The sequence below is a fragment of the Homo sapiens genome, chromosome 2 (genome assembly GCF_000001405.40).
Source record: "Homo sapiens chromosome 2, GRCh38.p14 Primary Assembly".
Classification (NCBI taxonomy): Eukaryota; Metazoa; Chordata; class Mammalia; order Primates; family Hominidae; genus Homo; species Homo sapiens.
The window spans coordinates 121,697,688-121,710,576 of NC_000002.12; the positions used below are offsets into that span (position 1 = coordinate 121,697,688).

Consider the following 12,889-nt stretch of genomic DNA (forward strand, 5'->3'; position numbering starts at 1 on the left):
AAGACAGAAGACTGTGGACAGGGAGAGGGCAGGGGAGAAAGGCCCAAAGGAGGCCCTGCCTTCGGGCCACCAGGAAACAAGAGGCACCCTATCCTGTTCTGTAGTGGGTGGGTTTTAAAGCTCTGTGTGTTAATTTCCTATCCAAAAGTCCTTTTAAAAAATAGATCATAATCCCAGCACTTTGGGAGGCTGAGGCGGGTGGATCACCTGAGGTCGGGAGTTCGAGACCAGCCTGACCAACATGGAGAAACCCTGTCTCTACAAAAAATGCAAAATTAGCTGGGTGTAGTGGTGCATGCCTGTACTTCAGCTACTCGGGAGGCTGAGGCACGAGAATTGCTTGAACCCGGCAGGCGGAGGTTGCAGTGAGCCGAGATCATGCCATTGCACTCCAGCCTGGGCAACAAGAGCAAAACTCCGTTTCGAAACAAAAAAATAGACCAACGAGGCTAGGCTCGGTGGCTCACGCCTGTAATCCCAGCACTTTGGGAGGCCAAGGTGGATGGATCACCTGAGGTCAGGAGTTCGAGACCAGCCTAGCCAACATGATGAAACCCCGTCTCTACTAAAAATACAAAAATTAGTCGGGCATGGTAGCACACACCTGTAATCTCAGCTACTCAGGAGGCTAAGGCAGGAGAATTCTTGAACCCGGGAGGCGGAGGTTGCAGTGAGCCGAGATTGTGCCACTGCACTGCAGCCTGGGAGACAAAGCAAGACTCCGTCTGAAAAAAAAAAAAAATAGACCAGTGAGTGGATAAACAAAATGTGGTATATACATACAATGGAATATTATTCAGCCTGAAAAAGCAAGGAGATTCTGACACGTGCTACTACACGGATGAACGTTATGAACATTGTGATAAGTGAGATAAGCCAGACACAAAAGGACACATCCTGTATGATTCCACTTACATGAGGTCCCTAGAGTAGTCAAATTTGTAGTGATAGAAAGTAAGATGGTGGTTGCCAGGACCTGAGAGGAGAGGGGAACGGGAAGTGAGTGTTTAATGGGCGCAGAGTTTCAGTTGGAGAGTGTGAAAAAGTTCTGTGGATGGGTGGTGGTGATGGTTGCACAACAGTGCGAAGGTACTTAATGCCACTCAACTGCACACTTAAAAATGGTTAAGATGCTACATTTTAGGCTAGGTGCGGTGGCTCATGCCTATAATCCCTGCACTGTGGGAGGCTGAGGCAGGTGGGTAGCTTGAGCTTAGAAGTTCAAAACCAGCCTGGGTCCAGGCACAGTGACTCATGCCTGTAATCCCAGCACTTTGGGAGGCCGAGGCAGGTGGATCACCTGAGGTCAGGAGTTCGAGACCATGCTGGCCAGCATGGTGAAACCCCGTCTCTACTAAAAATACAAAAATTGGCCGGGCATGGTGGTGGGCGCCTATAATTCCAGCTACTCAGCAGGCTGAGGCAGGAGACTCGCTTGAACCCAGGAGGCGGAGATTGTAGTGAGCCAAAATCATGCCATTTCACTCTAGCCTGGGAGAAAGAGCGAGACTCTGTCTCAAAACAAACAAACAAACAAACCCCACCAACCTGGGTAACATGGTGAAACCTTGTCTCTACAAAAAAAATACAAAAATTAGCTGGGCGTGGTGGTATGCACCTGTAGTCCCAGCTACTTCAGAGGCTGAGGTGGGAGGACGGTTTGAATCCTGGAGGTGGAGGCTGCAGTGAGCAGAGATGGTTCCACTGTACTCCAGCCTTGGCAACAGAGTGAGACCCTGTCTCAAAAAAATATGCATTTTAGGTATATTTACCCCACACACACACATACAAATAGGCCAGTGCAAGATGAGCCAGAAGAGAGCTGCTTCGTTCAGTCTGAGTGACTAAGAGTGATGATGCCATCCACCCAGACAGGAAGCAGACCGGGTGAGCGGGTTTGTGGGGAGAGATGAGGTCAGCTCTCAGAGGTGACAACGCTCCTAATGATCAAACCCTCAGTAGAGGCCCACTGTGCCCGCATGGGAGGTGCTTTGCCCCCACCTCCCTCAGCCTTGCAAGGTGAAGGCTCTTGCTTTCATTTCACAGGGAAGCTAACGGTGTTTAGCCAGTATGACCCAGATTTGTCCAGCCCACTGTGCCTGTCTGGGTTCGGGTGCTGAGGGCCATTCCTTGTGATGCGGCCAGCAAGCAAGGGGCGACCTGGAGCTGAGAGAGGAGGTGAGAGTCAGAGGAGCTGCAACATTTCCTGCACTGAGATCCTGGTAAAGCCACAGGCATGGCTTGGCCCCCGCAGGAAGGAAGCAAGAGGGAGAGAAGGGGGAAGCCCTACATGTAAGACACTCTCTCTACTGAGTCCTGCCGATCACAGCAGCTCCTCCTGGAGAAATGTCCACCCCAGTGTCGCCAAGTTAAGACCTCGGCCTTGCTCAGCACCTGCCCAGCAGCTGATGCTAGGACCTCTGCCAAGCATGAGGAGAGGAGCCAGCTCAGAGTGACTCATTGTACATCAGCCTGGCTCCATGGATCCGGATCAACGCCCTGGACCTCACCTGGCAGTGAGGAACCAGTGGGAAGAGAGGTGCGTGCTGGACTCCACTGGACAGCACGTAGTCTCTCGGTGGAAGCAAAGACACCAGCCTTGCACCGAGCCAGCCCAGCCAGGGAAGAGTGGAGAGGAGGCAAGGCTGGGGGCTGGTGGGTGACTGTGTAATTCCCAAGCCAGGTGAAAATCTGTACAGGTTTTGAGGAGGAGGTCACTTCTCAGCTCCAAATAATAGAAGCATCCAGAAGGAAATAACCAGAGGCTTCTGCCAATTGATCTGGAGACTGGGAAAAGGTCCCACAGTTATTAATAACCTCTGTGTTCTGGGAACTGATTTCATGCACCAGACAAAGGGATTAAAAAGTTGCTGGTGAAGGCAAAGTGGTTTCAGCCAAAGCTCTCCTTTCTGTCTCCCAATAAATGAGCATTTTTCTCCACAGAAACCCTTAGAGCTGATTGGCCCTTTGACAAATCTGGTGAGCTGGGAGCTGTGTGGCTGATTGGCATATTTTGATAACCACTCTGTCGTCGTGAAGCACTTTCTTCCGGCAACCCCCATTTCACTCGCTCTGAGTATGGGGGTGAAAACAGTTGCTTCTGTAGCTTCTGAAAAAAAGCTGAGGATGGAGCCCACTCCTGGCCTGAGCCCTTAGAAGCATGTCCTATAGGAATCCTGGAAGAGAGACACTATATTAATTAATCCTTCAAAGTTAATGCAATGAACTTCAACTCGTACAACAGAGTTGTGGTGATGCTGTTACACAGCTGCCCTTCACAGGTATTGGGCCCACTCAGTAAGGGGATACAAATAAATAGGTTAAGATCTGAGAGACTGTTAGAGAGACGGCTTCCTGTAGAGACAGTGTTAGAAACCACAGTCAGGGCTGGGCACGGTGGCTCACGCCTGTAATCCCAGCACTTTGGGAGGCCAAGGCTGGCGGATCATGAGGTCAGGAGTTCAAGACTAGCCTGGCCAACATGGCGAAACCCTGTCTCTACTAAAAAAAATACAAAAATTAGCCAGGCGTGGTGGCAGGTGCCTGTAATCCCAGCTACTCGAGAGGCTGAGGCAGGAGAATCACTTGAACCTGGGAGGTGGAGGTTGCAGAGAGCCAAGATTGTGCCATTGCTCTCCAGCCTGGGCGACAAGAGACAAGAGCAAGACTCTGTCTCAAAACAAACAAACAAACAAACAAACAAACAAAAAAACCAAAGTCAGCACAGTTAGTTTGCTCACTTACTAAACTATGAGCAACTTGAAGGAAGGGTAAGTGTCTCACCCATATCCATACCCATATCTGACAGTGCCCATCAAGATTAGCTGCTTTGTAAATTAATAATAATTGAATGCTGTTGTGACATGGTGTTATTTCAAAAGACAACCAGCCACTACTTACAACTCCATTCCTGTGATAATATATTTCCTGGTCTCAGCCAAGGAGATAAGAACTGAAACTGCCTTTGCAAAATTATGACTGAGACAGTGAAAGAGATCTAACTTCACCGACTCCATCTTCCTTCTAACTTCTAAGCTATCCTTGTTCTTTCCTGGGCATAGGCTAAACTAACTTTGGGAGAAACTTAGTTTATAGTTTAAACAAAGATGGTAACAGCCCTTTCCCAAGCTGACCTCCTTCTTGCCTGAGGACTAGATTGCCTTTGTAGTACTAACACTAGCTACAAGATTAGAAATTGTGGTTTAGGAGTCATGCAGCTGGAGGCTACAAGATTCTGACCCTCCCTACCCTGCTCCTAAGATCAGTGCCTGAGATATTCTTCAGACCCTGCACTTGATGGATCAGCTGGCACCACCCAGATCAATAAACTGGCTCATCTGATCTTGTGGTCCCCATCCATGAACTGACTCAGCACAAGAAGACAGCTTCCACTCCCTATGATTTCATCTCTGACCTGCCCAATCAGCACTCTTGGCTCACTGGCTTCCCCTCACCCACCAAATTATCTTTAAAAGCTCTGCATGGCCAATGCTGGGCACGGTGGCTCACACCTGTAATCCCAGCACTTTGGGAGGCTGAGGCGGGTGGATCACGAGGTCAGGAGATCGAGACCATCCTGGCTAACACGGTGAAACCCCGTCTCTACTAAAAATACAAAAAATTAGTCTGGCGTGGTGGCAGGCGCCTGTAGTCCCAGCTACTTGGGAGGCTGAGGCAGGAGAATGGCGTGAACCCGGGAGGCGGAGCTTGCAGTGAGCCGAGATTGCGCCTCTGCACTCCAGCCTGGGCGACAGAGCGAGACTCCATCTCAAAAAAAAAAAAAAAGCTCCACTCCCCGAATGCTTGGAGAGACTGACTTGAGTAATAATAAAGCTCCAGTCTCCCGCACAGCCAGCTCTGCGTAAATTACTCTTTCTCTATTGCAATTCCCCTGTCTTGATGAATCGGCTCTGTCTAGGCAGTGGGCAAGGTGAACCTCTTGGGTGGTTACAGAAGTATCTCTTGTCTTTGTTCCCACCTGTTCCCATTGGTGGGATCCCCAGTCCCCAAGCACAGTCAGGAGCAGATCTTTGCCAGGCTCTGTGACTCACTCACAGCCCAACACGGGTCAAGTTCACAGTTCGTCTGTGCACTCAGCACATGCAAAGGTAAATTATTCTTTCCTATCCCTATTCCTGCAGCCCCTTTGTCTACTGATATAAATGTTGACCAGAGATTTTCTAACTCCCTCTCAAAGCCTCCAACCTAAATTACTGTAAAAGATGCTTAACTGGCCTTTGGTCCCTTTCAACCTATTTTCCTTTCTGCAGTGAGAGTGCTTTTTTTTTTTTTTTTTTTTTTTTTAAGACTGAGTCTCGCTCTGTTGCCCAGGCTGGAGTGCAGTGGCGCAATCTTGGCTCACTGCAACCTCCTCCTCCCAAGTTCAAGCGATTCTCCTGCCTCAGCCTCCGGAGTAGCTGGAACCACAGGCATGTGCCACCATGCTCGGCTGATTTTTGTATTTTTAGTAGAAACAGGGTTTCTCCATGTTGGCTAGGGTAGTATCGAACTCCTGACCTCAAGTGATCTGCCTGCCTCGGCCTTCCAAAGTGTTGGGATTACAGGTGTGAGCCACCGCACCCGGCCTGATAGTGCTTTTATTCAAACACAATTGGGTTTTAATTCAGCCTCTTGAATAGCTAGGGCTATGGGCACGTGCCACCAAGCCTGGCTTCTGGCAGATTCTTATAAACATACCAGCCGGGCACGGTGGCTCATGCCTATAATCCCAGCACTTTGGGAGGCTGAGGCAGGCGGATCACCTGAGGTCTGGAGTTCAAGACCAGCCTGACCAACATGGAGAAACCCCGTCTCTACTAAAAATACAAAATTAGCCGGGCGTGGTGGCACATGCCTGTAATCCCAGCTACTCGGGAGGCTGAGGCAGGAGAATCGCTTGAACCCAGGAGGTGGAGGCTACGGTGAGCCGAGATGGCACCATTGCACTCCAGCCTGGGCAACAAGAACGAAACTCCGTCTTTAAAAAAAAAAAAAGTAAACATACCTATGACCTAGCATTTCACTCCTGAGTTATCTACTCACAAGAAATGGAAGCGTTCGGCCGGGCGCGGTGGCTCACGCCTGTAATCCCAGCACTTTGGGAGGCCGAGGCGGGTGGATCATGAGGTCAGGAGATCGAGACCATCCTGGCTAACAAGGTGAAACCCCGTCTCTACTAAAAATACAAAAAATTAGCCGGGCGCGGTGGCGGGCGCCTGTAGTCCCAGCTACTCGGGAGGCTGAGGCAGGAGAATGGCGTGAACCCGGGAAGCGGAGCTTGCAGTGAGCCGAGATTGCGCCACTGCAGTCCGCAGTCCAGCCTGGGCGACAGAGCAAGACTCCGTCTCAAAAAAAAAAAAAAAAAAAAAAAGAAATGGAAGCGTTCACAAAAAAACCTGTACTTGTCTTTCACAAAAGTTTCATTTCTAATAGCCAACCACTGGAAACAATCCAAATGCCCACCAATTGGTGAACAAATTGTAGTAATCGATACAGTGGGACACTGCTTAGAAATTTAAAAAAAATGAATTACTGATACAGGTGACATAGATGAATCTCTAAAGCATTACACTAAATGACAGAAACTAGACACAGAACACCACATACTGTATTTACAAGAAAGAACAGAAAGGCAGAACCGTTGTTTCAGAAAGCCGATCAGTGGCTACCTGCAGCTGGGAATGGGGGAAGGGGCTTGACTGCAAAGGGGCAAGAGTGATGGTTGGAGTAATGGTGGTTTTACAACTGTATGGGTTTGTTGAAACCCATTGAATATTTTATTTAAAATTGGTAAACTTTACTGTTTGTAAATTATACTTAAATAAAGTTGATTTAAAAAATAAATAGGCCGAGGCTCAGTGGCTCACGCCTGTAATCCCAGCACTTTGGAGGCCGAGGTGGGCAGATCACAAGGTCAGGAGATCGAGATCATCCTGGCTAACATGGTGAAACCCTGTCTCTACTAAAAATACAAAAAAAAATTTAGCCTGGCATGGTGGCGGGCGCCTGTAGTCCCAGCTACTCGGGAGGCTGAGGCAGGAGAATGGCGTGAACCTGGGAGGCAGAGCTTGCAGTGAGCTGAGATGGCACCACTGCACTCCAGCCTGGGCAACAGTTCGAGACTCCATCTCAAAATAAATAAATAAATAAATAAATAAATAAATAAATAAATAGGCTGGGCATGGTGGCTCACTCCTGTAATCTCAGCACTTTGGGAGGCCAAGGCAGGCACTTGAGGTCAGGAGTTCAAGACCCGCCTGGCCAACATGACAAAACCCTGTCTCTACTAAAAGTACAGAAATTTTACGGGCATGGTGTCAGGCGCCTGTAATCCCAGCTACTCGGAAAGCTGTGGCCGGAATTGCTTGAACCCGGGAGGCGGAGGTTGCAGTGAGCAGAGATCACGCCATTGCACTCTAGCCTGAGTGACAGAGCGAGACTCCAACTCAAAAATAAATAAATAAATAAATAAAGTAAATAAAGCCATATAATAGTGAAAAACCCACCATCTGAAAAAAGACTAAAGAAGTGATAGAGAATTGCACAGCGTGGAGGCTTAAGACGGCCCTCTGGAGGAATCAACTTCCATCCAACAGGGGCTGTGTTTGGTGCAGGAGAGGTAGCCTGGAGGATTGTTCTGAGGCTGTGGTTCTTAAACTTTGGTTGCCATCAGGACAGCTTGGGAACTTGGGAAAAAACAAAGGCCCAGGCCCTATCCTGCTGCCATGAGCCTGGGCCTCTGTGTTCTTGTCAGGCTCTTTCTTAGGCCGTGACCATATTGGACTTCCCTGGTTTCCTCTAAGTCACACTGCCAGTTCCTCCCCAGAGCTTTGTGTGCGTTCTTTCCCTTCCTGGAAGGCTTGGGCCCTTTCCTGCCGCTGGGGTTGGGTTAAGTCCCCTTATCATGTGCTCCTGGCTTAGTGCGCCTGCTTTCCATAGCACACAACTTATAATCACTTGTTTGGCATCTGCCTTCCTCATGGGATAGTAAGCTCCATAAGGACAGGGCCCAGGTCACCAATGTGTGGAACGGTGCCTGACACACTGTTCGTTTATCTGTTCTTTGACCACGGTCCTGAAGAAATGCCCAGGAGGATTGACGAGATTGAGGTCAAGATCGTGGCCCAGTGTGTGGCGCTCCAAGCCAGCTCTTCCCCTTTCAAAACCAGAAAAGCCGCATGTTTAGATCGCTCTAGGAGATTCATCTCCATTACGATACAGGTGGGTAATGAGTTTCCCTCATAAACTTTTTTTTTCTTTTCTTTTTTATTTAATTTTCACATCAGATATGTAATGTGCCAAGGTAGTAACAAGGTTTGAGGGAGGCACATCTCACACGAATGTGAAAACTCAAAAGATCTAAACTAAGTTTTGAAACAAATCCACAAGTGGGTTTTTCCTCCACAGGGTAAGATTTTCTCCACATGTTTTGACTTGGGTGCATGGGCGTTGCCTTCCCTGCCTGTGGCCTTCAAAAGACCATGGGTGCGAAGTCCAAGCTTTGACTCTTCTGCCTATGATTCTCTGTCAAATGAGAGGCCAAAATTAAAACCACAATGAGGTATCACTAAACACCCACTAGAGTGGCTAAAATTGAAAATTCTGACTATACAAAATATTGGCAAGGATGTAGAGCGACTGGGACTCCCATACATTGCTGTTGGAAATAGTTTGGCAGGTTCCTATAAAGTTAGAATAAATTTATCATATAACCCAGAGATCCAACTTGTACGTATTTATCCAAGAGAAATAAAAACATATGTTCATTCAAAGCCTTGTATATGAATATTTATAAGTGCTTTATTAATGATAGCATAAAACTGGAAGCAATTAAAATGTCTATCAGCTGGTGAATGGACAAACTGTGCTTCATTCACCTAGCAATAAAAAGAACTACTGATGCATGGATGATGGTCTGTGAAACAGAGAAAAATGAGTCTATGCTGTATGATTCCATTCATATGAAATTATAGAAAAGTTTAGCCAGGCGTGATGGCAGGCGCCTGTAGTCCCAGCTCCTTGGGAGGCTGAGGCAGGAGAATCACTTGAACCCTGGAAGGGGGAAGTTGCAGTGAGCTGAGATTGTGCCACTGCACTCCAGTCTGGGTGGCAGAGTGAGACTCCGTCTCAAAAAAAAAAAAAAAAAAAAGAAATCATAGAAAAGACAAACTATAGGGTCAGAAATGAGATCAGTGGTAGCCTGGAACCAGGGGTTGTGGGAGGAGATTGGCCGCAAAGGAGCATGAGGGAACTTTGGAGTGATGGAATTATTCTGCATTTTGATTGTGGGGCTGGTTGCACAGGTGTATGTATTTGTCAAAATTCATTCAACATCTGGTCATGGTGGGCTCACACCTGTAATCCCAGTGCTTTGAGAGGCCAAGGCGGGCAGATCACCTAGGTCAGGAGTTTGAGACCAGCCTGGCCAATGTGGTGAAACCCCGTCTCTACTAAAAGTACAAAAGTTAGCCGGGCATGGTGGCATATGCCTGTAGTCCCAGCTATTCGGGAGGCTGAGGCAGAATTGCTCAAACTGGGGAGGCAGAGGTTGCAGTGAGCTGAGATCACACCATTGCACTCCAGCCTGGCGACAGAGCGAGACTTCGTCTCAAAAACAAACAAAAAGTTTGTTTTGTTTTTAAGGCCTACTTCAATGCAAGCAGAACAAATTTTTAATCTCCGAAAACATGGCTTTTGAAAGGAAACAATAAAAACTCTGCCACTGGGCTAGTGTTACCTGCTTAAAGGATCTGGTGGCTGAATGAAGGTCATTATATCATCAGAGAAAGCCCTCACTTCCTGACACAGTAGCATCTGTGAGGAACAATTAATTGCAACCCTATACCCCCCGCACAAGTGATTTTTATGGTCTCACAACCCCAGGTTGTTAAAATGAGAGGTCAACATCCCTGCTGGTTCGTGGGAAATTCTTCATGGACACATACCTGCCTGGTGATGTGTTGGTCATTTTTCCATTTAGCAGGCAGCTGTGGGTAACGTTTAACCAGGAAAAGAGAGGCTAAATTATGCAAGACATTTACAACGTAAAGAGGGGAGAAACTTCCGTCTGGTCACACTGGGGGTGGCAAGAGTACATATGGACTTCCTCGCGTTTTACCAGCAAAACAGGTGCCAAACATCCCCCGTGGGCTTCTGAGAGCCCCTGCTCTCAGCTTGCTGAGACTTTTGGAAACTGTTTGAAGGCTTCCAAACACCTGCTAACAGGAAGACAAAAGAGTGAGGTTTCTATTTTATGACTTCATCAGGATGATAGGAATGTTCTTGAGTCCATTGCAGCACCTTGCTCTGACCACACCAGCAGGGCGGGAGCAGGGGTGGCGCTGGCAGCAGGCCTCTTCCCACCACTGCTCTTGAGCTCATCTCTGATGGTATCATTCCCAGCTATTTGTTATAAGTTTTTCCTCTTAAACCTACAATTGTTTCAAATCTGCCAGTTTATCTTTTTTTTTCTGTTTTCTTTCCTTTTTTTTTTTTTGATTCATTCAAATATTTATTAAGCAGCTAAGGAGATACAAAGGCGACTTAAAACATTGTCAGAGGTGAGGCAAATGCACAAGTAATAGAAAGGAAAGGGCAAGGTTCACTGAATCACAGCAGCCGGAAGAAAGTGCTTTAGGGAACCAAGCGTGAGATTATTTCCAGCCTGAAGAGGCATGGGTGGCAAATCAGAAAAGGGGATTGAAATTAAAATAGAAGACTTCAGTCTGGATTGTTGATGACACTCAGTATGGACTATATTTGTCTCTCCTTTTCCTTTCTCCCCATCTTTGGGCTTAATTTACCAGCAGTGCCCAGGACTGTTCAATGCGCTTTTTCTATACTTGCTTGCATTTTCGCTTTAATGTCTTCTATGGAACTAGGTCCTTTCGGTGTTTTAGAAGTTTTTTCCTGTTTTTTTGAAGGAGTCTTGTCCTTTTGATCTTGGTGTTGACGGTTTTGAGTCTTTTCCATTCTGATTTGACTTTTGTGCATTTTTGGCTGGAGTATCTCGTATGGATTTCTTCACCGGCGCTTTTTCTTCAGCTTCCCCATCATCAAAATCCTCATCATCATCATCTTCATCTTCATCAGCAGCAACTTTTACTTTTTTCTGTGGAATCTTGCTACCACCTCCACGGGCCGACCGCTTTCCAGATACACTTAAGAGTTTCACATCCTCCTCCTCTTCATCTTCTGACTCTGCATCTTCCTCCACAGCTACTAAGTGCTGTCCACTAATATGCACTGGCCCTGAACCACACTTCAACCGTAAGACCACTGGTGGTGTGATTTCAAAGCCTCCAAGGGAATCCTTTGGCTGTACAGACATTTTCAAAGTTGCCAGTGTTACTTTAATTGGACTGCCTTTGTAATTCATTGCCTCTACTTCAACAATGTGCAATTCATCCTTTGTACCAGCCCCTAAACAGGGAGAATAGCCGCGCAGGACGGAATCACACCAGGTTTTTTTTTGTTGTTTTTTTTTTGAGATAGTGTTTTGCTCTTGTTGCCCAGGCTGGAGTGTAATGGCACGACCTCGGCTCACTGCAACCTGTGCCTCCCAGATTCAAACAATTCTCCTGCCTCAGCCTCCTGAGTAGCTGGGATTACAGGCATGCACCACCACGCCGAGCTAATTTTGTATTTTTAGTAGAGACAGGGTTTCGCCATGTTGGTCAGGCTAGTCTTGAACTCCCGACCTCAGGTAATCCACCCACCTCAGCCTCCCAAAGTGCTGGGATTACAGGAGTGAGCCACCATGCCCAGCCTCCTTTCTTTTTTTTTTTTTTTTTTAAGACAGAGTCTCGCTATATTGCCCAGACTGGTCTCAAACTCCTGGACTCAAGCAGTACTCCCACATCCCAGATAGTTGGGACTACAGGTGTGTGCCACTATGCCCAGCAAATCAGCCAATTAATAATAATAAAAGAAAAATCTGTTGCCTGTATTGGGAAGTTTTTGCTTGCCTGTGACAGAAATCTAACTCAAACTGGTTTTGGGGTGAAAAAGAAAATGATTAGCACACCTTACTGAAAAGTCTAAGGAATGTCATGCATGGCTAGATTGAGGGACTCAGACAAGGGCCTCAAGAAACCATCTCCTTCCATCTCTTGGTTTGGCTTTTTTTGGGGCTGGCTTTATTCTTGGGCTAGGGCTCCCTGTGGTGATGAAAGGGCCGCCAGCTGCTCCTCCGAGTTTGGAGACACTGTGGGAAGTGTGCCTATCCCAATAGTTCTAGCAAGAGTCCTAGGGAGGACTCTCATTTGCCCAAACTTTATAACATGTCTGTCCCTGCGGCCTGGGCCTTGTTGCACTGGCAGGACCTCTTGCTGGGGTCACTCACATAGGTTGATTTGAAAGGGAGACTCGCATGGGTTGACTAGAGTGGGGAGAGGTGGTGAATTCAAAGAAAATTGGGAGGCGAACGTTCAAGGCCAACGAGGCTGGGAACCAGAAACAGCAGACGTCTGCCACAGTCCTCCTGTGTTTCTTAGGCATTTCCTAGCATGGTGTGCTGAATCTTAGGTCTTCCCTAACCCCCACAGTGGCATCAGATAATTTCCTTCTTTCCAATGAATGAACTCATTGGGCACTTCTCTCACGCCCACATCTGAACTATTCACTCCCTTGGCACTTCCTGGGTACCTGTTCTGTGCAGTTGATTGCCAAGTGTGGGGGAGCAGGTGGGGGTGGGCACAAGGTTGAACGGGACACAGTCTGAGGGAGACAGACAGTAAACAATTACAGTGGGATCTGTCCCTCTGGGTCTTCGAGTTTGTGCCCACCTTCCTGTGTTCCCAGTTTTTGTACCTCGGAAATGCTCTCTGATGTTAGACACAGATCTGTGACAGGTAGGACAGATCAGTCAAGGTGGTGGAGGAGCGTGGTT

At 47.6% G+C, this 12,889-nt stretch overlaps 1 long non-coding RNA gene and 2 pseudogenes across 1 annotated transcript in view, besides 2 other annotated features; 1 reads left to right on the forward strand and 2 right to left on the reverse strand.

Annotated features, from left to right (window-relative positions):
• Window positions 1–12,889, forward strand: part of NIFK-AS1 (NIFK antisense RNA 1) — a 78,907-nt gene that overhangs the window by 48,034 nt on the left and 17,984 nt on the right. The window contains exon 3 of the long non-coding RNA NR_037857.1: window positions 8,081–8,220. This is a non-coding gene — a long non-coding RNA (NIFK antisense RNA 1). The remainder of the gene's footprint in view (window positions 1–8,080; window positions 8,221–12,889) is intronic.
• Window positions 2,011–2,130: an enhancer, noted in NCBI's record as "active region_16470". NCBI's record gives its function as "activates an Ori minimal core promoter by ATAC-STARR-seq in GM12878 lymphoblastoid cells {active_cell/tissue: GM12878}" and the evidence as "EXISTENCE:reporter gene assay evidence [ECO:0000049][PMID:35858748]".
• Window positions 2,288–2,787: an enhancer, noted in NCBI's record as "H3K4me1 hESC enhancer chr2:122457551-122458050 (GRCh37/hg19 assembly coordinates)". NCBI's record gives its function as "activates a minimal SCP1, AML or CMV promoter by ChIP-STARR-seq in naive H9 embryonic stem cells {active_cell/tissue: H9 hESC(naive)}" and the evidence as "EXISTENCE:reporter gene assay evidence [ECO:0000049][PMID:30033119]".
• Window positions 8,280–8,393, reverse strand: LOC124906186 (uncharacterized; annotated as a pseudogene).
• Window positions 10,631–11,427, reverse strand: NPM1P32 (nucleophosmin 1 pseudogene 32; annotated as a pseudogene).